The sequence below is a fragment of the Homo sapiens genome, chromosome 6 (assembly GCF_000001405.40).
Source record: "Homo sapiens chromosome 6, GRCh38.p14 Primary Assembly".
Classification (NCBI taxonomy): Eukaryota; Metazoa; Chordata; class Mammalia; order Primates; family Hominidae; genus Homo; species Homo sapiens.
Window position 1 is genome coordinate 3,449,324 of NC_000006.12, and position 24,458 is coordinate 3,473,781.

The following is a 24,458-nucleotide window of genomic DNA, read 5'->3' on the forward strand; positions in this document are numbered from 1 at the left end:
ACCAAACCATACGTTTCTACATAACAAAAATATCATGTACAAAATTTAAAAAACCAAACAGCAAACTCGAGGAAAATGGTTACAAGTCATCCAGAAGGGTTAATTTACATCATACATAAAGTGTACCTATAAATACATAAGAAAATAATGCTTCTCACAGCATATACACACACATAAAGGCAAAGGAAATGAAGAGACTGTTCAAAGAACAGGAAATATGGATGGCTCAAAAACTTTCAAAAAGATGTTTAACTTCCTTCATAACAAGAGAAATGCAAGTCACAACCACCACCAAATACAATTTTTTGCACATCAAACTAGAAAATATGTAAAGATTTGATAATCCCCTGGGTCAGGGAGGGTGTAGGGAACAGAACCACACATATTATTAGTATAATTGTGCATAGCTAAGATTTCTACAGAAAACACTCTGACAGTATTAACATAAAAATGCAGCCTACTTTCACCCTCCCACTTCTAAAAATTTCTTACACGTGTGCAAATGTCTGTGCATGCCAAGATTTCGTGATATATTGTGAATATAACAGCAAAGACTGGAGACAAACTTAATGCTTCCTCGGTAAGTGATTAGTTAAATAAATGGCAGTCCAGTCTGACAATGGAATACTATGCAGACATAAAAAAGAATGAGTATCTCTATGTACTGATGTATTCATCTCCAGCATAAGTGAAAAAACAGTGTTTCGGATACGCTAGTGTTTCTGAGACAAAATATGTAAATGAAAGTAGAACATTTCTGGAAGGGGATGTGAGAAACTGGTAACCATGGTTGCTTCTGAAGAGGGAAACTGGGGGCAGAGACAGAAAGAAATGTTACTTTTATGCTATGCTTTCTGTACAATGTACATGTATTACCTACTATAGTCAATTTTTAAAAATAGATATGCATGAAGATATCCACTGTTGTTGCATATACTAGACAAAAGCCACCACTGGGATGACCTCATGGTAGTCAGTTCAGTATTTTATTATTTTTTTTTGAGACGGAGTCTCGCTCTGTTGCTCAGGCTGGAGTGCAGTGGAGTGATCTCGGCTCACCGCAACCTCCGCCTCCCAGGTTCAAGCGATTCTCCTACCTCAGCCTCCCGAGTAGCTGGGAATACAGACGTAAACCACCATGCCCGGCTAATTTTTGTATTTTTAGTAGAGATGGGGTTTCACTATGTTGGCCAGGCTGGTCTGGAACTCCTGACCTCGTGATCCGCCCGCCTCGGCCTCCCAAAGTGCTGGCATTACAGGCGTGAGCCACTGTGCCCGGCCGTCAGTTCGGTATTAGGAAAAGAATTTAAGAACTTTTAATAAATCAGCAAAAATATCATGCATTTAAAATGTTTCGGAAGAAATGGACAAATTCTTTTGATGAGGTGTCAAGAAAATAGTAGATTCCATTAAATAAACACTTTGATTAGAACTGTGAAAACAGGTTTGTGTGTAAGGCATTTCAAAAGTGAAAACTAGTCATCATATGATAACTAGGATCATGGAATTGTGGGCTATTTTTAAAAGTGTTACTGTTGCAATGATATAATTATTTCTAGTCTTAATTAAATTGTACTTAAAGTCACTTTAAATAACTTCTACTCTTTAGCCCTAGAAAAAGGATACAAATTACTTCCCAGGATATTTAAGCAACTTTCAGGATAAAGGTCAGAAATCTTTGCAAATTCATGAGAACAGAGGAAATGCTACCAGAAGATTGGAGCTGGACAAACATCCTACATTTCAAATACAGAAAAAATTGGGGCAAGTTCAGCTGGCATTGATTATTGGCAAAAGTTCTAGAGATTACTCAAGAAAGTGCTGAGTATTAGAAACCAACAGATTCAGTCAGAACAATGCAGGATACACTGTGCAAATTATTATTATTTTTTGAGACAGGGTCTCACTCTGTCGCCCGGACTGGAGTGCAGTGGCGCGATCTCGCTCACTGCAACCTCTCACTCCCAGGCTTGAGGGACTCTCCTGCCTCAGCCTCCCTAGTAGCTGGGATTAGAGGCGTGCGCCACCACGCCCAGCTAATTTTTCTATTTTTAGTAGAGATGAGGGCTCACCATGTTGGCCAGGCTGGTCTCAAACTCCTAATCTCAAATGATCCATCCACCTAGGCCTCCCAAAGTGCTGGGATTACAGGCGTGAGCCACTGCACCCAGCCTGTGCAAATCATTAAGCGCAATATTTGCAAGTCCATGGAGTCTTTGTTTTTTTGTTTTGTTTTGTTTTGTTTTAACTTTGTTGACTAAGATCTCAGAAGTATCTGAGAACTTGGGCTGCGCAGGGAATGCTGGTGTGGGAGAAGCAAGCCAACTGAGCTGAGCTGCGGCCCTGTTTGTCCTTAGCTCTCCAAAACTTGCTGTCTATGTCACTTGGAAGGAATTTGATTCTTTTCTGCAAGGCACTGACAATACCTTACAACAGAGCTGGGAGATAAAATGCAGAGCTTGTGAAAGTCATCAGAAAGTTGAACACAGATGGTCCCCGGCTTAAAACGGTTCAACTTGATGATTTTTTGACTTGATGATGGTGTGAACACGATACACATTCAGTAGAAACTGTATCGATAAGGGCTGCTTTATTCACCAGAAGTGAAAAACACGATGGTTGTGTGAGTATCTGAAGTACACAACCATTCTCTTTTTCACTTTCAGTACAGTATTCCGTAAGTCACACGAGATATTCAACACATTATAAAACAGACTTTGTGTGAGATGATTCTGCCCAACTGTGGGCTAATGTGAGTGTTCTCAGCACATCTGAGGTAGGCTGGGCTAAGCCAGCATATTCAGTAGGTTAGGTGTATTAAATGTATTTTCCACTTTCAATATTTCCAACTGATGAGGGGTTTATCTGGACACAAGACACAACACCATCCGAAGCAGAGGAGCATCTGTACCTGGTTCTTGTACAGAACACATGGCACACTCAACTGTGTGTTCACTGACTTAAAATCCATGATTGGCACCTGCTATTAGTCTGGCTGGTGGCTCACACCTATAATCCTAACACTTTGGGAGGCCGAGGCAGAAGGACAGCTTGAGGCCAGGAGTTCAACACCAGCCTGGGCAATATAGCAAGACCCCCCTCTCTACAAAAAAATAAAAATAAAAATGAGCCAGGTGTGGTGGTGCATGCCTGTAGTCCCAGCTACTCAGGAGGCTGAGGCAGAAAGATCACTTAAGCCTGGGAGGTGGAGGCTTCAGAGAGCTGTGATATCGTACCACTGGACTCCAGCCTGGGCAACAGAGCCAGACGCTGTCTAAAAAAAAAAAAAAAAAAAAAAAAAAAAAAAAAAAAAAAGCCTAGAGACTGACCTTGGGTTATTATTCTTAATCAAAGAAAATAATGTATATGAAATGTTTTATAAACTATAAAGGGCTGCACAAAAGAAACTGACATTAATGTTGTCATTATTTTGAAGGCATTGCAGATTCTGCGATGCAAATTCTGGTACCAATAACAAATACAAAGGCCAAGGCAAAAAATAAAAAGATCCTAACGGGAGAGATCTAGAAACTCAAAATTGTTAAGATGAAACCTAAGTCATGGTCATGCTACATGAGCCTAAAACTGAGAAAATCCTGATTTCATCCACCACTCCCAGGAAAACAACATTGGAGGGGTTGGTGATCATGGTCTGGAAGCAGAAGTATGTCATGTCTAGTTTAAGCCTAATGAATCAACTCTAGGTTGCAGTAGGGGAAGGACAGTATCCATCAATCCCCTCTTTGGGTTAGAACACACAGGGCCTGGCTGGGTTGGATTCTGGGTACCATGCTTAAGAGACACACATGCCAACCAGAGCGATAAGTATGGCAAATTTTTGCACGTATGGAATAGCTTAAGTACTGTAGATTTTTCAGCCAGGAAAGAAGCTATTGAAAACACATTTTATTTAAGAAATAATTTTTTAAAAAAAATTATTCTGAGGAGCAAGTGGCACAAATAGGCATGAGTTAACCTGAGTTTTATTTACCAAAGTGTGCCTTCCTGCAAGGAAAAGCAACTACGGGATGGACTAGCTGCCTTGTTAACAAAGCACTCCCTTTCCATCGATGGAAGTGTTCAAACTAGGATGGATAACTTCATGTTAGAGATATCATGCAGAAGGCGAGAGAGGCTGGTCAGCCCTAAGATCCCTTTTAACTACAATAACCTGGGATTCTAACTGGCTTGACAGTTTCACGTGTGTAGGTAGGTGCTAGGATACCAGCAGCCACATGAGAAAGAGGTCCAGAACTGTGCCTGGTAGCTCTTCTGTCTTCCTCTCCCTTTCTGACACCTAGGGACAGAATGGTGCATATATTGTAGGGCACACACACGCTAAAGGATACATACTAAATACAGGATACATGCTGAAGACAGCATGAGGCTTATTTGCAAGAGAAAGATCATGGAACAGAGCAGGAAAGAGGCACAAAAGGCAGCTTCTCAAACCCTGAGCTTTTATCCACTGAAAGAAGGCAAAGGCTCCTTCCACTTTCTGCTTCTACTTGGGATGTGGGCTGACAAGCACCTGACCCCTGGAACTCCTGCACTCACCATAGTGTACATCCCACATTAGTGCATCTGATACAGTATTCAACATACACAGCAGCACAGGAAAAGTCTGCCTTCCAACATGCCAAAATGTGCTTGAAAAGCTCTTTGAAGCATTTGTTATGTGCTTGAAACACACAGAACACTGGGAAGGCAGTCCTTTATTTAGATCTTTTTTGTCTGTGAAAATCAATATGTCCTTTCTAGGCTTTACTGTATAAGAAAATGTGTGTCTAATTATTGTTCCCAGGTTTCCCCTCTCAGTCTGGCCCAGTAACTGCAACGTGTCATCAAGCATCACCCAAAACATGCCACACACATGAGGGCTGTCTGTGACCCTCTCGAATGCTAATTTAGAAAAACTGCCCAGCTCTCCAATATGCCTCCATAGTCTGCTTTTAAGAACTATTTTTGTTCTCTCCTCCCACCGTGCATGGCTGAGTGTGAATAGCTGTTTCCTGGGTCCTCACTGCCAAGGTAATGGCACTCTATCCCATCTCATCACTTTCAAGTTCACCTCTACTTTGACCCCAGGACACAGCGCTCTTCACACATACTCACTTTGATCCATTATTCTCCCTCTGCTCTAGAAAGACACTTGAAATACTTAACAATGTTGCCAAATCCTCAGTCTGTCAGACATACACAGTGATTTAAATAGTCATTGTTCTTAATTTTTCTTTGCTGCTAAACCAACAAAGAAATATTGCCCTCCGTGAAGGGAAAACAGTCACAGAAACACCTTTAGAAAGCAGGGGGTAGGAGGTGGGTGGGATCAAGGTGAACCCAGCTAGAAGGACCTTCCCCATTACCTTGCAGGGCAGCAGGGGCAGCTCAGTCAGACAGTTCCCACAGGACAGAGCATTTCTGGCCAGGTTGGTACAAGATTAAAACAATGATTATGATGATGTAAGAGTTTATCTTACACATCCATGAGCTACAACTGTTAACCAATGCACACGGGGGGAGGAGGTTACATGCACATTGACTATTTAAAACTGTCCAATTTCATACATTTCGACAAAGCATTTAAAACTCTGCCAGAACAGCCCAGAATGGGTAGCGGGTGGGGTGGAGGAGAGTCTGTATTTACTTTAAAATGTGAATTAATTAGTTTAGACACAAGGAGCAAAACTACAAATGTCTTGATATCTCTTATATGTTAAGAATAAAATTACAGCTGTCTAGGGGCATTGAGTGTCCACCATTGCCCACTCTGTGTTTAGGCCTTCACACTTGTCTCACAACTCCCTTCTGCTACATTTCACACCACGCAATACCTCTGCAAGGGAGCTTTAGCTACAGGACTCAGAGGACAAGGTGCATGTTTCAGCTAAAGCACACCCCCGTTCTCAGTGCCTCAGCCCAAAGCAGCTGCTGTGTAAGAGCGGTGACGGCCGGGGAACACCCAAATGACATATTCTCCGCGTCCTTCCTATACTGTAGTGATGTTTACTGAAGTGCTGAGAAAACATGGGAGGAGACACTGGGGTAGCAAAGCCTAAAGTCAGATATCTTTGGGGAGGACTAAGCATCGGCTGCGGGTTGGGGATTTGCAGGAGTCTTTGCTTCTCTGGCTCTCCAGTTCTTTAGTAGGCTTTACCTGTGTCAAAATCAAGTGCGAGATGGAAGACTATTGCTTTGTGGGAGACCCAGGGACAACTAGCCGGGCAGAACAGGGCTGTGGTCCCGACTCCCCCAGCAGACCTTGAACGACGCCAGTCCGACTCCTCCAGAGGGGGCTGGTGACAGGTCAGCTGCCTCGCCCCGAGGGTGGGGGAAGGGCGCGCTTTCCATCCGCGTACTGGGACAGGAGTTTGGGTGCAAACTAGTAAAGGCTATGGTGCTCCCTTTACACCCAAGTAAAGGCATGTGGTTTGGGGGACGGAAGGAGATTAAGCCAATGCGGAATGCCCTACACACACTCTAGCACCACCACTTTGGGGACTTCGGTTCTCCCGCTGGCTCGGGCTTGGACCTCGGTCTGCAGGGAGAGGGTTGGAGGGACTGGGCGGCTGCGGCCCTTACCTTGCTGACCACGTTCTGGACGAGGCCGGCGCGGATGCCGTAGTCCCATGCGCGGCAGTCACAGTTGGAGGCGTTGTCCCCCTTGTCCGGAGGGGATGGCAGGGGTGGTGTGTCGCCTCCGTCCGCGCCGCTGCTGTTGCTCCGGTTGCCCGCAGCCTCCCAGGGGGCAGTGGCGAAGGGGGTGGTGGGGAGGCTGGTCCAGTTGCCCATGTCCCCGCCCCGGCCTGTGGTGGTGACCCCTGCCAGCTCGGTGCCTTTGCCGGCCCCGCGGCACCAGAAGTTGGGCTGGTCCAGGAGGAACGAGTCCGAGAACTGGCTGAAGCCGATGAACAGCGCCGGGATCCAGGTGAGCAGCACGAGGGTCTTCTGATAGCCCCCGCCCAGGCCCCCGAGGAAGGGCAGCACCGACCCGTCATAGTCCAGCAACAAGAGGCTCGGGGCCGCAGCCGCGGAGCAGCAGCTCGGGTGCGGGCCGCCTCCAGGATGCAGTGGGGGCAGCGGCTGGATCTCCGCGCCGCCGCCGGGGCCCGCGCGTCCCCCGAGGGGCGCCGAGGCCGCCGCGTCCCCGGGCGGCAGGGAGCCGTTCTCCTCGGCCGGGGCCGGCTGCCGCCCAGGCCCGCCGCCCGCCGCCTCGCGCCGCCGGTCTATGGCCATGGCCCGGGCCCGCGGCTCCCGCAGAGGCGCATAGAGCGCGGCGGAGGCTCCGCGGGCGCCCCGGGCACAGCGCGCCGGGCCAGGCGCCTGCAGCCGCTGCCGCCGAGGAGGGCCCGCGGCTCGAGAGAGAGCGCTCGGCGGCTCCGGGTGCGTCAGGCCGCCCCCATGTCACCCGCCGGACCCCGCGCCCCGGGCGCTGCGGCCCCGCTCGGGCGCCGGGCAGAGGCGGGCAGAGGCCGGCCGGGCCCTCAGCCGCCGCGGCTCATCAGTTCCGCGGCCCGGGCGCCGGCTGCCGAGCCCGCCGCTCTCCGCTGCTCCGCGCCGGACGCGGCAGGAGGAGGAGCCGGCGCCGCGCCCGGCCCGCGCCCTTGCCGGCGGTTCAGGGCCCTGCGGGCGGCGGTGCGGGCAAAGGCTGCTGCTCCCGGGGTGGCCGCGCTGTATTTCTCCGACTTCGGGCGCCTCCCGGAAGCCGCGAGCTCTGGACCCAGCCTGCCGAGCCGGCCGCGCTCTCCAGCTCCTGGAGCCGGCCCCACTCCTCCTCCTCCTCCTCCTCCTCCCCCTCCTCCCTGCCCCCCGGCCCGCCCCCTCTCCCCCCGCCGAGGTGGAGGTAACCGCGGCACCTGCTGCGCTCGGCTCCTGCTCGCGAGCGCCCCCTCCAGCCCGGACGCGCGGCCGCCGCCGCCCGGGATCCACGGGAGGGGGGCGGGGGAAACGGGACACCCCGGGCCCGCCTGGCTGGAGGATCCCCTGCCCGTTGCCCGTTTCGCGCCGGGCGGGGCGGGGGAGGAGGAGACGCGCGTAGCAGGGGTCGCCGGCCGGCGACGGGTCCCGGCAAAGTCGGCGTGCGCTGAGAACGTGTGGGCCGGGTCTTCTCTGAGGCTGGGCTCCCGCAGCCGCGCGGGCCCCCCACCCACTCCGCGCGCGCCAGGTCTCCGTGACCTCTGTCTCTTCAGAGGTGCCCGGCGGTCCCGCTGCCCGCGCCCCGCTCCCAGTCCCAAGCCCGAGGGTCTTCAGCCTTCGGGAACAACCCTCTGCGCTTTTTCCAGGAGCGAATAAGGTTGATTTTTGTGTCCGTGGAGCAGGGTCAAGGAGGCGCCTTTGCCAATTTCAGGTCGCCAGTCCCCCGCAGTGTCTGGCCACCTGCGACCCGCCGCACCCACTCCCAAATCGCCATTTCTTCCCCCACTCCTAAGTGCATGCGATGTAAGCACGATGCTGGGATATATCTCCAACACAAGTTATAATACACACAGTATAAACGTGATGGCATTCCCCACCCCCTCCCTAAGATCTTGTATTCACGTTTGGAACGCCGTGTGCACAGGCGCACACATCTATACTCTCACACAAGAAGACAAACCTCTCCCTCCTCTCCTGCTCCAGCGCCAACCTTGCCCAGCCAGCGCTGTATAAATAACACCAGCCCTGCGGCAAACGGCTACATTAGCATATTTCCTCCTGCACCCAGCGCACGCACCAAAGAGAATTATCCGGCACCTTTCAACCCAGCGTCCCCACATTTTGGAGGCATTTCATATTCTGAGAAGTTTATTAATGGAAGTCTTAAATGGAGCAATCCATTTCTAGTCTTATTTGGGGCAAAAAAAAAAAAAATGTTTAGCTTTCCAAAAGGATATATTCTAAGCTCCATATACTGAATGTATTCTTTTGCATTTTCATTATTTGCTCAGCTAACCGCTGCACAATTTAGTGGAATACATTTTTAACCTGCAGTTCAGTGTTAAGGGCAACATGTGTTTACTGCATAAAATGCTGGCACATACGTACCAGAGAACTATTTCTGAAGGCTGCCGGGGGGCGGGTCTTGGGGGACAGGGGAGGTTGTGGACCTTCCTGCGTGGCCGAGAAGGGGTGATTAGATAACAATGGGCGGAAGGGGCCCTAAGGGCTGCAAAAGACACCAGACCGCTGAGAAATGGGTCTGGAAACCACATATATAAAGAGCTGGGGGCTTGGGGCGGGGGGGGACACGATAGTGCACGTTGTGTACGTGGTAATTTTTCAACTTCACATTATTTATTAGCTTAACTTTTCTTTTCCTTCCCTCTCCTCCCCTCATTTGAAGAGCTAATACATGCAAAGTTCTGACCTCCATGCCTGGAACAGAGTAAGTGCGCAATGAATGTTAGACATGTATTATTACCAGTGCTCCTCTTGCCATTACATACAATCCACATTTCTTTTTGAATTGAAATATAACTTTACGGATTTTATTTATTTTCCTTTCAGTGGCTGATTTTCCAGAAGAGGTCCACTTTGTGTCTGGCTCTGCCTCCCTTCCCCCACAGTCACAAGGACCCATTTGTTTTCTTGTAACTGATCACAAAAGGAGCATTGCCATTGACCTTAATGGCCCTTCCAATCAGAATAACTATCATAGCCAGCGTTTCAGAGTTGGCTTTCAAATTCACACTCTCACTCAGTCCTCACATTCAGCGCCCCAAGAAGTGGGCTTTCAAAGAGAAACAGCAAGGATCAGGTGACTGACTACCAGATCAAAGAGTTGGTCCCCAGCTGAGCCAAATATCTGGTTTTGAACCCAGATTTTCTGACTGGACATTACCGGATTTCTCCATTTCATCATACAGGGGCAACTATAGGGAAGAGTTTACAAAGATGTTTGTTAATGTGCATTTTTACGTGGGAGAAGCCCTGGCCCTAGGAAAAGAGTTTCATTGTGAAGATGTTATTAGTCTTTGTTCGCAAAAGGTGGTAAAAATCCTCAAATGGTACATTCTTAGAATTTAGGGACACACTGGAAAATGGTATCCTCTAAAACTGAAGCTAAAAGGAGGCAACATAAAATGTTTGAAATTAACTAGCTGCAGCACTGACCCAGGCATTGTAATTAAGCTGTTGATTAGATTAGAGGTTTCCCTAAATTCCTCCTGGATTGATATTTCCACCAAATCTAGTCAAGAAGATTAAAGTGTAACTACTTTAAAATAAAGTGGCCTTCAATTTATTAAAACATACCACAAGTGATCTCATAACGTGAGCAAAAGGAGTAAAGAGGAAGAATTTGACACTCTGACAGCCTCAGTGGGTGAGGTTTGAGATCCATGGACCAGGATAGGAAAGCCAGACACCTGTTAAAAAATTACTGTTTTTAATTTTCTGAATGAGCATTATCATCAGCTGCTATTTTTCTTGTTTGCTTAGTTAGATTTACGTTCTGCCTCTAGAATGTAAGCACCTTCGGGGATAGGTGCCTTGTGCTCAGCTGTATGCTTGGTGGTTAAAACAGTGCCTGGTACATGCAAGGCACTCAATACATCTTTGTCAAATAAATGAGTGTATCAAGTTATTAATCACTTGATGATACTGTCTATTCAAATCATCAAACTGTTTACTTTGTTTCTTAAATCATCAAGCAACCTTTTTGTGTTTGTTCATCTCTCAAAGATGGTGCTCAGATCAGCCAACATGAGACTTGAAATGAATTTGACAATTATATGTCTTGTTGTAAGGCATTGTGGTTACTGGATTAGCTCCCAATATTATCTTCTCTTGGGCAGTATTGGCTTGCAGATGGTGGCTTATAGGCCAAATGCAGCTCACAGACCATAGGCAATGTTTTCAGGAAAATAATTGCTAACATTTCAAAATTGGGAGATTGAATACTTAGAAAAAAATGTGTTTTGGGCTTCTCTGAACATCATAGCAGAAGCCATTGTCCTTTTGATGCCCCATGTTTGCAGGACCGTGCTTTCTTGGACTGCAGTAAATGAGCAGGCACTCTCCAGCTTGCCCTCATCCCTGCCTGACACATGCCCCTCATGCATGACATTTGGCCCCCAAAAGTAGCTGTGTTTGTGACCCTAAATTTATGTGAGTATCCTGAACCCAGTGATCTTAATAAAGAAGCTGAGTCATTCCCTTTTCCTTTGAAAGTATGTTAAAGAATCTACCAGTTTATAGTTTTCTAAAAATTGAGAAAATAAGGAAAGGAAATGAAAGTCATAACCTAATCACCAATACATTTGAACAGTTTTATTTCCTTGGAGATAACAGGAGAAAAAATGTTTTAGCTTACCTCTAAAATTGATGGAAACCTAATTTTAAATCCTCTATAATTCTGTAAAAGTTAATTCTAAGGAATTCAAGTCAGGGTTAATTAACTTTAAATGTACGCTGCAAGTCATACCAAATGTATTTCACGTTGGTTTCTCTGATTATTCATGGTCTTTATACTTGAATTATAGATAGATATATCACATTTTAGAATATCCTGTGTCATTTTTTTTTTAAACTGCAGCTTGATTTCTTCCTTTCAAATAACTATTTGAAAATTAGGTTACCTTGATTTTGGGAGGGTGGGAGAAAGTGATTGAAATTATTTCCAACTCTAGTTGTGTATACTTGAATATTATTTATATCATCCTTTGCCTTTTGGAATATCAAGTCTGACTCTTTAACAAGAAATTTGACATTTACAAAACCTATCATAAATGAAAATGAAAAAGCTACTTTGGTTAAGTGACAGAAGTAATAAAAATGTCACATAATCTATCCTAAGGAAAGTTACAGGTAGTATCTTGAGAAAAACTACCTACTCATCTAGTACAAGACAAATTCATCAAAAGGCCAAGTGAAAACAGAAAAAGTGAAGATAAGACTTCTATGCAAAAAGCTACTCCATTGTAAATGTGATGGCTAGGGCCCAGTTACTTTCAAAGTTTGGTCAAAATTTAATTTTGAAGTCTTTTATTGAATTAAAAAAATTAGTGAAGCAAATCGATCTAAAATTTGATGTTGGCTTTTGTTTGATGAAAATCATAGATGTCATCTTTGTCTTACTGTACTTAAGAATGTTCTTTGGGCCAGGCACGGTGGCTCACGCCTGTAATCCCAGCACTTTGGGAGGCCGAGGGGATCACGAGGTCAGGAGATCAAGACCATCCTGGCCAACATGGTGAAACCCCATCTCTACTAAAAATACAAAAATTAGCTAGGCATGGTGGTGCGCACCTATTGTCCCAGCTACTCGGGAAGCTGAGGCAGGAGAATCGCTTGAACTGGGAGGCAGAGGTTGCAGTGAGCCAAGGTCATGCCACACTGCACTCCAGCCTGGTGACTGAGCAAGACTCCATCTCAAAAAAGAAAAAAAAATGTTCTTTGACACACACACACACACACACACACACACACGAAAATAACACAATGCCAAGACTTATAAGTGAATATTATATGTTTTATTCCAGCATGGAAACAGCCTCTTCTGTTTGATGAGAATCATCCCAAAGTTGGCATATGAAGCTTGAGTTTCAAGTATGGATGCTGAGCTCTTGACAGTGGGTGGGCAAACTGCAGATAATCATTGTTAGAAGGGCTTGTGGAAAGAACAATGAAGTAACCAGAGCTTACATGAAAGAAGTTTCACTTTTCAAATGAGATAAACTAATGTTCTTTAAACAACCCTTTTGTTCTAATGCTTTTCCTACTAATTCTAAATGGAGGTGAAGAAAAACACACAGATGGATGTAACCAAATCTAAAGTTATTAAACGGATTTTTTTTTATGACTGGAAGCTAGCGGGCAACAAGAGGAATGAATATTCCTGAAGGAGGCAGATTATTAGACCCAGAGTATACTTTCTGAGGTAAGCTGTTTTGACCAAGACATTGGTTTATTTAACTTCTTTCTTTAATAAGGCTGGTTTGAATTTATTACCATTAGATAGTCATAAATGACTTTTCATATTTAAAAAAATGGCTGTGTATGCATATTATTTTCAGTCCAAATTCTAGGCCATCTAAGAGGGCTTTGAATTAAAATTTATCGTTCCTATAGCAAAATACATGTAAATATATGGATAAAGTCACTAAAACATTCTAAGTTAACAGTATTTTTAAGGTTTTGAATTTTGAACTTTGAGGAAAGCACTTTTTCTATTTATAAGGTGATTTAACACCCTAGTATCAACAAGCACACCTAGCACCCAGATCTTGGTATCTAATACCATTCTCCAATATAAGGAACCAGGACCCCTTGGAGACAAATGGTTGATTCTAGGATGGGGCAGGAAATCTACAAGGTGATCCTGGGGCATTTTGTATAGTGCCGGGAAGTAAGGAAGAGCTGAACACCTCCACACCCCTCCACCCACACAATTATGGGGTGTGCGAAAGGGACACAGGAGCCAAATGAAAGAGCTCCCAAAGTCCAAAGCTGGAACCATTTGAGCAAAAAATAAAGTGCTATTGAATAATAAATAACCCAAATTATAAAATCTATACTGTGTGTCTGTATGTGAAAAATAAATGATTGGATAAATGAGGAAGAAGAGATAGATCTCCCATGCAGAAAATTTCAAATAATTGATGTGGATACTCAGCCCTCAAGCAGGAGTATAAGTCCTCGCTCCTTAAGTGGGGGCTGCACGTATTGATTTCCTTCCAAAGAGCGTGGAAACGGGGAAAAATAAGGTTACAGTGGAAAAACTCTTACAGTGAAAAGCACTGCTTCAGCCAGATGATCAAAGTTAGCATCAACAGTGATGAATCATGCTGACGCTGTGTACCCCTGATATGATACGGTGAGAATGGCACTTTACCTCTCCCATAACCTCCATAACCTGGTCTAACCATGAGGAAAACATCAAACAAATTCCTACTGAGGGACAGTCTGCAAAATACCTGAGCAGTACTCAAACTGTCTGGGTGATCAAAAACAAGGAAAGTCTGAGAACGTGTCATGTCCAAATGGAGCCTACAGGAGAAAGGATGACAAAATGTAATGGGATATGCTGGATAGGATCTCGGAACAGGAAAAGATGTTAAGGAAAAACTAAGGAAATTGCACTAAACAGTGGACCTAGATTAATAATAATGTATCCATACTGATTCATCAGTTGTGACAATGTATCAGACTAATGTAAGATGGTAAGAAGGCAAACTGAGTGTGAGGTATGAGGGAACTCCCTGTACTATCTTTGTAATATTTTTTATAAGTCTAAAACTATTCTAAAATTAAAAGTTTACTTTTGTAAAAAAAAAAATGACATCTCAAACATTAATATTTCATTTCAAGTTCTAAATCAGTGATATGGTTTGGATATGTTTCCCCATCAAATCCCACATCAGATTGTAATCCCCACTGTTGGAGGTGGTGCCTGGTGGGAGGTGACCAGGTCATGGGGGCGGTTTCTCAGTAATGGTCTAACACCATCCCCTTAATGCTGTCCTCAAGACAGTGAGTTCTCTGGGGCCGGGCGCGGTGGCGCACGCCTGTAATCCCAGCGCTTTGGGAGGCCGAGGCGGGCAGATCACGAGGTCAGGAGATCGAGACCATCCTGGCAAACACGGTGAAACCCCGTCTCTACTAAAAATACAAAATATTAGCCGGGCGCGGTGGCGGGCGCCTGTAGTCCCAGCTACTCGGGAGGCTGAGGCAGGAGAATGGCGTGAACCTGGGAGGTGGAGCTTGCAGTGAGCCCAGATAGCGCCACTGCACTCTGGCCTGGGTGATAGAGCAAGACTCTGCCTCAAAAAAAAAAAAAAAAAAGATAGTGAGTTCTCTTTTGGAATCTGTTTGTTTAAAAGTGTGTGGCAACCCCTCCACCCAAAATGTGTTTTGGGCTTCTCTGAACATAGCAGAAGCCGAACCCCTACCCCGACTCTTGCTCCTGCTCTGGCCATGTGAAGTGTCTGCTCCCTCTTTGCCTTCCACCGTGATTGTAAGCTTCCTGAGGCCTCCCCAGAAGCTGAGCAGATGCCCATCCTGCCGCTTGTACAGCCTCTGGAATTGTGAGCCAATTAAACCTCTTTTCTTTATAATTTGCCCAGTCTCAGGTATTTCTTTATAGCAATGTGAGAATGAACTAATACAATCAGTAATTTCTCTCTGTATAGGTTTTTATCTCTATGATGACTTTTTTTTTCTTTTTAGACAGAGTTTCGCTCTTGTTGCCTAGGCTGGAGTGCAATGCCACGATCTCAGCTCAACTCAACCTCTGCCTCCCGGGTTCAAGTGATTCTCCTGCCTCAGCCTCTTGAGTATCTGAGATTACAGGCATGTGCCACCATGCCCGGCTAATTTTATATTTTTAGTAGAGATGGCGTTTCTCCATGTTGGTCAGGCTGGTCTCGAACTCCCGACCTCCAATGATCCGTCCGCCTTGGCCTCCCAAAGTGCTGGGATTATAGGCGTGAGCCACTGCACCCAGATGTGATGACTTTTTTAATCAAGAAAAGGTTTAATGGTTTGAAACCGAAAGTTGATGAGAGGGACACAAAAATTCAAATGATTGAAAAATAATTTTTTTTTTTTTTGACGGAGGTTTTTTTTTGCTCTTGTTGCCCAGGCTGCAGTGCAATGGCACCATCTTGGCTCACTGCAACCTCCGCCTCCTGGGTTCAAACAATTCTCCTGCCTTAGCCTCCCGAGTAGCTGGGATTACAGGCATGTGCCACCACACCTGGCTAATTTTGTATATATATATATTTTTTTTTAGTTTCTCCATGTTGGTCAGGTTGGTCTCGAACTCCCGACCTCAGGTGATCCGCCCGTCTTGGCCTCCCAAAGTGCTGGGATTACAGGCATGAGCCACCGTGCCTGGCTGAAAAATAAATTTTAATGAGAGCTTGTTATAGTAACTGATTTTTAAAAACACTCCAAAGTTAAAAGATGCCAATATCAGCAAAATTATGAGCTATGGCCCAGGCTCTGGTGTAAGAGGCCAGCAAGGCCAGGTGGTCCTCCAGCCCTGAGACACATGGTAACTATCACTTTTTATTTTAAAGTTCTCTTGTTCCATTTGTGTTTACATTTCCATATTCTATTTTGTTTTCATCATTGACCTAGAAATACATTTAAGCCAATTTTTCTTTGGTTTCTTAGAGCTTTTTCTTCTGCCTTGTTAACTTTATCAATGATTCCATTTCTTAAAAGTTAACATAGAACCTTTAGGGGAGGCTGTGAAATACATGTGTATGGAATAACCAGCCTACTTTTAGGTAATGTAACAGAGCAGACTGGAGCCTCCAGGTTAACAGTCTTTGACAGAGTCTTTTTATCGGCCAGAAAATGCTTGGAATAGAAATCCAAGGGCATTCAAGTAAAACTCCACTTTCTAGTAGGTGTCCCTAAAGCACCTACTAGATTTGTACGTCTCGGTAGCTCCACTGCCGGTCACAGGGCCTGGCATTCAATAAACATTTGCTGAATGAACGAACAAAGGAAGGATGGGATGCGATATAGGATTCTGCCAGAGAGAGAAGAGGGAACAGTATATTCCAAATAAAAGGAATAGCGAGAATGAAACGCGAAGGTAGGAACCAGATGTGCTTGCTTGTGGTAGTTGGTACACGGCATTTCCGTAATATGATTTACTTATAGTATTTATAGAGGAAAATTGGATAATGCTATTTTAAGTATAAACATTACAAGTTTTGTTTTATTTTATTTTATTTATTTACTTTTTTTGACATGGAGTTTCGCTATTTTTGCCCAGGCTGGAGTGCAATGGTATGATCTCTGCTCACTGCAACCTCCGCCTCCCAGATTCAAGGGATTCTTCTGCCTCAGCCTCCCGAGTAGCTGGGATTACAGGCATGTGCCACCATGCCTGGCTAATTTTGTATTTTTAGTAGAGATAGGGTTTCTCCATGTTGATCAGGCTGGTCTCGAACTCCCGACCTCAGGTGATCTGCCTGCCTCAGCCTCCGAAAGTGCTGGAATTACAGGCGTGAGCCACTGCGCCCAGCAACATTACAAGTTTTAAAGGGAAGTTAAGAAAACCCCAAAATACCTCACCTTTAAAAAATGACTTTATTGAGGTATAATTTACATACATACATTTTAAATGTACAGTTCAGTGATGTGTACACCTTTGAAACCATCTCCTGAATCAAGACACACAGCATTTCACCCTCCCCAAAAACGATCTGTTGTGCCTCTTTGCAGCCAGCCCCCTACACACCACCCTAGGCCTTCTCTCACTACAGGTTAGTTTTTCCTGTTCTAGAACTTGGAATAAATGGAACGAGGCAGCTCACACTCTCTTGCGCCTGGCTTCTTTCACTTAGCATAACACTTGTGAGATTTGCCCATGTGGTTGCTGTATCCACATTTTATACCTTTTTGTCATTGAGCAGTGTCTCACTGTAGGCATAGCCCCTAGCTTGTCATGCATTCTCATGTTAATGGACATTGTGGTTGCTTCCAGTTTGGGGCTACTATGAACAAAGCTGCTAGAAACCTTCATATAGGGTTCTTTGTGTAGAATGTGTTTTCATTTCTCTTGCATAAATATCTAGGAGTAGGATTGATGGGTTGTATGATAAACCATTTCTCATTTTTTGAAAATGACACCTTGTGGATCACCAATCCTTATGGTGGACACCAAAAATTGTCCTTATGGCCGCTGATAGAACAAAGAAAGCAGGGCTGGGAAGAGCATCATCTGAGCTGGCAAGGAACAGCTTATGACTTTAGGATATTTGAATAATGCTCGCATTCTCTGAGGACACAGCAACAATGGGGAGAAGGCACAGTATGCTGGTTAGTGAGTCTGAAGCTACAGGGAATACTTTACATGTCATTGCCTGAAAATTAGTTTTAGGTGGCATATTAGGTTTTCATACTTCATGGCAAGAAATCTACAGGAAATTACCTGTACCGTGAGTGCATCGGCATCAGTATTTTTTCACATGCAAATTATAGAAAACTCAGGGTAAACTGGCTTATGCAAAAAAGGAACTTGATTAGCTCATGTAACGAAAAATACCAAGATTTGCTATTAACATGACCCAGCATGATGTGATTGGGATGCAGGGCGCTTCAAACCCTTCCTGGCCAAAGTCACACTGTAGGGCCTGACTTCCCTGCTTTGTCCACATTCCCTCCGGGCTCTTTATTTAGTTTGGGGGTCTGGAGACTGGGGAAAGGAGGACGGCTTCAAGGGCTTTTACTTCTATCAGCCCCCAACGTTAGACCTGTTTTTCAAAGCATTGCTTTTTAATTACTACTGTCTTGGTTGATTTGCCAAGACAGTAAGAAGTAGCTGGGAGTGTGCCAGGTGCGATGGCTCACGCCTGTAATCCCAGCACTTTGGGAGGCTGAGGCGGGTGGATCACCTGAGATCGGGAGTTGGAGACCAACCTGACCAACACGGAGAAACCCCGTCTCTACTAAAAATACAAAATTAGCTGGGGGTGATGGCGCACATCTCTAATCCCAGCTACTCGGGTGGCTGAGGCAGGAGAATCACTTGAACCTGGGAGGCAGAGGTTGCAGTGAGCTGAGATCGGACCATTGCGCTCCAGCCTGGGCAACAAGAGTGAAACTCTGTCTCCAAAAAAAAAAAGGTATCTGGGAGTTTAGTTCCCCCTTAACCTGGGACAGGTGAGCACGGACAACAAAAGCCCCAAATCCATTGCCTGCTTCCTTGCACATGAAGCCCTATTTTACTGTCTGCTTCTAAAGATAAAAGCCTACATTCACAAGGATAAAGTTTCAAGCCCAAAGAAACACCTCACAGGACCTAGTGGGGAAGGTGGAGCATCTAAGTCAGACCTCCTGTATTTTTGCCCAGACCTCACAACCTTCTGGTTGTGTGACATTGAACAAGTCCCATTACTTCTGCCAGCCTTACTTTCCTCATCTGTAAAATGGGAATAATCATCACACCTGAGTTACTGCCCATCACACAGGTTGGTGTGAGGAACCAATGAGATAATGTGAATGAATTCGGTATGATTGAGTTGCTATCAGAAGTGGTCATCCTGACCCCAACCACTCAAACCATCTCTATAGAGTTTATCTGATTCCTCATCACCACAAACCTGGGGCCAGATTCCACTGTCAATCAAAGAGAGAAAAGAGGTTGGAATCCCCAGCGGACATTTCATTCCATTAGTTCTACTAAATAATTCTACAGTAGAGACCGATAGACCCAGAGCTTGAATTTGCTGCTGTGATCAGACTTCCTGGTAGCGAATGTCTGCAGGCCAGACCTGTGCTGTCCTGAATGCCTTGCCTTGCCCCGGGGCAGGAGATCCGGCCCTCTAGGTGGTCCCCTAGGCTAAAGGGCAGCAAGAGTGAAGGCCTGCCACACTCCAGCAGTGTCCTGTCCACCCCACAGAACCCCCACAAGGGGCAGCCCCTATTTTCATCCACCCAGCAGCTCTAATGGTAGGTCCTGGCTCCACCTTCTCCCGCTTGCCCTGTCTTGCTGCAGACACGTTGCTTTGCATCTTGGACAGAACCAGAAACGTGACACATTCCTAATAACCTTAATAATCCTCACAGCTAGCATTTCTTGAGCACGCGATCACCTTTCCACATATCTCATCTCACTTAAGGTACCCTACGCGAAGGAAGGATCATTGCACCATTACGGAGACGAGGATACAAACTGTCAGGCCTCTGAGCCCAAGCTAAGCCATCACATCTCCTGTGACCTGCACATATACATCCAGATGACCTGAAGCAAATGAAGAACCACAAAAAATAACATTCCACCATTGTGATCTGTTCCTACCCACCCTAACTGATCAATTGACCTTATGACAATACCCCCTCCCCGCCCTTGCAATAATATACTTTGTCATACTCCCCCGCCCTTAAGAAGGTACTTTGTAATATTCTCCCCGCCCTTGAGAATGTACTTTGTGAGATCCACCCCCTGCCTATAAAAAATTGCTCCTAACTCCACCGCCTATCCCAAACCTATAAGAACTAATGATAATCCCAGCACCCTTTGCTGACTCCTTTCTTGGACACAGCCTGCTTGCACCCAGGTGAAATAAACAGCCTTGTTGCTCACACAAAGCCTGTTTGGTGGACTCTCTTCATACAGATGCGCGTGACACAAACCTTAAAAGATGTTAAGTAACTTGCCCAAGGTCATGCAGTATCAGAACCAGGATTCAAAACAGAAACTCAGACCTGTCTCATGCCAATGCTTGGGACTCTCATCCACTACGGTTAGCCATCTCCCCCAGATGGAAAGAGTGGGAAACTTCTGCCAGATCTTTCTGATTCCATGGGGTAGATGTCTAGATCTGACAGGGCTCATCTCCAGTCGGATGCATGTCCACTGCCCCTTCCTCTCCCTGTCCTCTCAGCAAGAGTTGGGCCCAGTGGGCTTCTCTGACTCATACCTTTGCTTCTGGAACTGGCTTCCTCTCTGCCCCAATACCAGTGACCTTGGGAAATCCCAAATCACTTCCCTCCAGGAAAATGTCCACTTCCAGCTCCTCAGGCCAGTACTGTCAACCACTGCGCGCTCCCGGGAGCCATCCCTAAGCCCTTGAGCCCTCTGGAAATCATTTACAAAGTCAGGAGGATCATTTTAGCATTAGCCTTTATTCCCTGAACAAAACAGGCCCCTAGACAGTGAGGGCTTCTTATAAAGTTGCCTGACTCTCCTTTGCTTTGGGTTCCGGGATAGACTCAAAACCTCTTGAGTATAAAATTCTGTAACTTCCACTCTGTCTTCATTATGTGAGATGTTCAGAAAACCCCACTATTGGAAACAGAACTCACTAGACACTCAGGTAAACTACTTTGGCCTTTCATTCGACAGCCACCGTTATTTGAGGCCCCTTAGGGATTCACCATCGGTGCCTGGAGCGAGTTTGAAAGTCATCAAAGGAGCCAGGTGTGGCTCTGGAGGTCCTCGGGAATCTCTCTCCAGAAGGAATCCAATCAAGGAAAATCTAAACTGTTTCCTGTGACTGTGTATCATGGTTTTGCCCTTTTCCTCCACCTAGTTCATTTTAAGAGGATCTTAATGCTGCCTATCAGATAAGAATGTTATGTATAAAATTAGATATTTTAATACAAGCAAGCCTGGACTTGTACAGACAAATTTCTCACCTCTTCCACAGAGGACAATAGACTTCTGAAAAAGGTGCTGTATTGTCTAAACCCCTCTGGCCCCCTCTTCCTGATATTGCATTTGGAGTCTGCCGCACGTTCTTTTGAATAGTCTCAATTGTGAGAAATTTTTTATGCTCTCGACTTTAAGAAAACTGAGTAAAAGTCAATTGAAACCAAGTTTAGCGATTAAACTGAGAAATACCATTTGGGGTTTAAAATAACCCGTGACTATAAAATAAGAAGGAAGGATTTCTTTTGTTGTTCTTCGAGTGGCTCTGATGGTAATTATTTTCTTCTGAGACACATGAAAGCTTCCAGGAAGGAACCCTCATCCGGGTGGGTGCAGTGTGGAGGTGGGGTGAGATTAGGCCTCTGACTGCGAGAGAGCCCGCTTTCTTCTCTATCGCTACTTTCAAACGCCACTCCTTTTGATGTTGGCTAAGAATTTATCCTTCACATTTCCATTTAACGAGAGTGACAATGTGTCTAAACCCCAAGAGGAATTGGCTAAGAATTTAAATCATTCCTTGCCCATATGTCCTCTCCGTAAAGGTACGTTTTATATTTGTAGCTAGTCTCATAGGCCTAGCTTTCGAAGACGGGTAAGGTAAAAGAACCAGAAAACAAAGTCGAAATGGTGTCCCCTTCCTGTAGGCTCGCTTTTCTTTCTTTCTTTTTCTTTTTCTTTTTTTTTTGAGGCAGAGTCTCACTCTGTCGCCCAGGCTGGAGTGCAGTGGCATGGTCTCGGCTCACGGCAACCTCTGCCTCCCAGGTTCAAGCGATTCTCCTGCCTCAGCCTCCCGAGTAGCTGGGATTACAGACGCGTACCACCATGCCCGGCTAATTTTTGTATTTTTAGTAGAGACCGGGTTTCTCCATGTTGGCCAGGCTGGTCTCTAACTCCTGACCTCAGGTGATCCGCCTACCTCTGCTTCCCAAAGTGCTGGGATTACAGGCATGAGCCACCACGCCCAGCCCTCTTTTCTCCACTTTTGATTCCTTCCCTTCTTCCTTCAAAGGAGCACGCAAGGGCCAGGTCCCAGTTCCTGTCCTCAGCTCATTAGATCACAGGTTGTGAAGAGCTGGCACAGATTCAGCACACTTGGAGCCAAACACAGCTGTATCAATAGTTTGATAGGGATCTTCAGTTGCCCAGATTAATATGCTTATCAGCTGCTCAGGGAAAATCATTCAGGTGGCCCCTCTCCTTCCTCCGATGACCGAACCCCACCCCATGGTTTCTGGACTCCATCCCAAAGTCTCTAATTTTCCCCTCAAAATTGATTCTTCACTTGCTTAGGTAGTGTCTACACTGGAATTCAGCCTCACTGTTTGAAGTTGTCTGTTACTAGGAGAGTCTGTTTACATTAAGCCCAAGTGTGAACTCTCACTAATTAACGCCATTATGTAGCTTTGCAAATAACCACTTGTACTTATGGCCAGGAGAGGAACATTCTTTTTACTGGTTCCAACAACTGCCTTAAGGTCCAGTGGTGGTTAGTCACAGTAGAAGAGGGAAGGCAGCCGCTGGCTAAGGGCTGAGCTTGCTTATGTGTTGGCTAGTGCACCACAACTAGTTCTCTTCCAAGACAACGAGGAATTAATCATGGCTGCCTTTCTCAGGACTGTGAGGTTTTTGAGTGATAGCAAATAATGAAGCTAAATGGAGCCTCTAGCCATCTACTGAACCCCCCCATTTCTAGGAGAGGAAACAGGCCTAGGAAAGTGGAATCCTTTGACCTAAATTTAAGAGTTTATTAGAGGCGGCCGGGCCCGGTGGCTCACACCTGTAATCCCAGCATTTTGGGAGGCCAAGGTGGGTGGATCCCTGAGGTTGGGAGTTTGAGACCAGCCTAATCAACATGGAGAAACCCCATCTCTACTAAAAATACAAAATTAGCTGGGCATGGTGGCACATGCCTGTAATCCCAGCTACGTGAGAGGCTGAGGCAGGAGAATCACTTGAACCCAGGAGGCGGAGGTTGTGGTGAGCTGAGGTTGTGCCATTGCACTCTGGCCTGGGCAATAAGAGTGAAACTCCATCTCAAAAAAAAAAAAAAGAAAAGAAAAAGAGTTTATTCGAGGGTGATACGGTCCTAGAGCTCAATTCTTCTGGTTCCCAGCCAGTACATTCTCCATGCTGCCTCCCTGCAAACCGAATCTGTGTAGAACACCTTCGTTTCACCAGTAATGAAATGGCTGACAATAGGGTATTTTCCTGTCTTGCACAGATGATGGGTTACACGGTCATTTCCCAGCTTCATCTCTCTGGAAACAGATGGCTTAAATCTATTAAAATGGGTTTTCTCTGAGTTCTTCCATGAAACATTAAGCTCTGGGAAGGTCCAACTGTGTTTCCTTCACATTTAGCACCTAGTAAATGGTGCGAATGAAGGGTTAGCATTCAATAAATGGTGAATGAAAGAAGCAAGGAGAAACTAGCTATCCCATCAAGGACCAAATTGGCTGCCCTGTTAGTTAACCAATTAATGTAGTTAACCAGCCACTGGTGGAAGCAAGTTCCACTATGGGAAGCTCATCTTGCACTTCTATTATCTGGATGAGGTTGCTTTATTTTAAAAACATCAGTGCAATATTTAAAATTCAAAATAAAAGTATTACTCATCCAAAGTTTCTCTTTATCTCCAGATCCTTAATGATATGAGTCCTCAAAAGAGAGTCAGTAATTTTAAAAAGAATAGTCTCTCTTAGGAATTCTGCCCTGCTTGGAATTTCTACGCCTTTTTCAAAATTTCTAATTCTTTTTCTATCAATCTCTGACCTCAGCACTCAGAGTCTAGGAAGAGCTTACTCATGTCCCCCAGGGATCATTTCACAAACATCTGAGAGCTCCTCACCAACCAGACAATGCACAACACTGGCTCCCATGACTCAGCATGAATTCAGACACACACACACACACACACACACACACACACACACACGTGGGTGGTTTCTGCGGGTGCTCTGCAGGAGCTGTGTTTGGAGCGGTTTGGGATGGGCTGTGGGGCTGAGTGAAGGAAGGCGGCCCAGCTTCCAGCTCACTCTTTCCTTTCTGGTAACATAATTAAAATGCTACACTAACAAAAGTGAAAGAGCTTTGCAAAGTTAAAAATGGTGCAAATTCATTATTTGTTAAATGACACTAATAATGAATTAGTATCGTTATTATTATTATTATTATTATTATTATTATTATTATTATTATTGAGACAGAGTCTTGCTCTGTCACCCAGGCTGGAGTGCAGTGGTGCTATCTCGGCTCACTGCAACCTCCGCCTCCTGGGTTCAGGTGATTCTCCTGCCTCAGCCTCCCGAGTAGCTGGGACTACAGGCACGTGCCACCACACCCGGCTAATTTTTTGTATTTTTAG

General features: G+C 45.5%; 1 protein-coding gene and 1 long non-coding RNA gene across 12 annotated transcripts in view, besides 4 other annotated features; one reads left to right on the forward strand and one right to left on the reverse strand.

Moving 5' to 3' along the window:
* Positions 1-7,727, reverse strand: part of SLC22A23 (solute carrier family 22 member 23) — a 188,078-nt gene extending 180,351 nt beyond the window's left edge. For all 11 annotated transcript variants that reach the window (NR_168069.1, XR_001743575.2, XR_007059328.1 and 8 more), the window contains exon 1: positions 6,583-7,727. Coding sequence is in view for 8 of the 11 variants with exons in the window: in NM_015482.2 (NP_056297.1) it covers positions 6,583-7,236 (654 nt within the window). In the remaining 3 variants the exon portion in view is untranslated. The remainder of the gene's footprint in view (positions 1-6,582) is intronic.
* On the forward strand, positions 6,380-19,687 carry LOC643327 (uncharacterized). Its single transcript, NR_147844.1, has 2 exons — positions 6,380-6,928; positions 19,563-19,687. It is a non-coding gene; the product is annotated as an uncharacterized LOC643327 (long non-coding RNA).
* Positions 7,495-7,724: a silencer, noted in NCBI's record as "silent region_16853". NCBI's record gives its function as "represses an Ori minimal core promoter by ATAC-STARR-seq in GM12878 lymphoblastoid cells {active_cell/tissue: GM12878}" and the evidence as "EXISTENCE:reporter gene assay evidence [ECO:0000049][PMID:35858748]".
* Positions 7,785-8,004: a silencer, noted in NCBI's record as "silent region_16854". NCBI's record gives its function as "represses an Ori minimal core promoter by ATAC-STARR-seq in GM12878 lymphoblastoid cells {active_cell/tissue: GM12878}" and the evidence as "EXISTENCE:reporter gene assay evidence [ECO:0000049][PMID:35858748]".
* Positions 23,721-24,201: a transcriptional cis regulatory region, noted in NCBI's record as "candidate enhancer chr6.239 targeted for multiplex CRISPR interference". NCBI's record gives its function as "positively regulates expression of the WRNIP1 gene with high confidence and the ECI2 gene with lower confidence in K562 cells {active_cell/tissue: K562}" and the evidence as "EXISTENCE:mutant phenotype evidence [ECO:0000015][PMID:30612741]".
* Positions 23,812-24,106: an enhancer, noted in NCBI's record as "tiled region #3383; HepG2 Activating DNase matched - State 9:DNaseU, and K562 Activating DNase unmatched - State 8:EnhW". NCBI's record gives its function as "activates a minimal TATA promoter and a strong SV40 promoter by Sharpr-MPRA in HepG2 and K562 cells {active_cell/tissue: HepG2 | K562}" and the evidence as "EXISTENCE:reporter gene assay evidence [ECO:0000049][PMID:27701403]".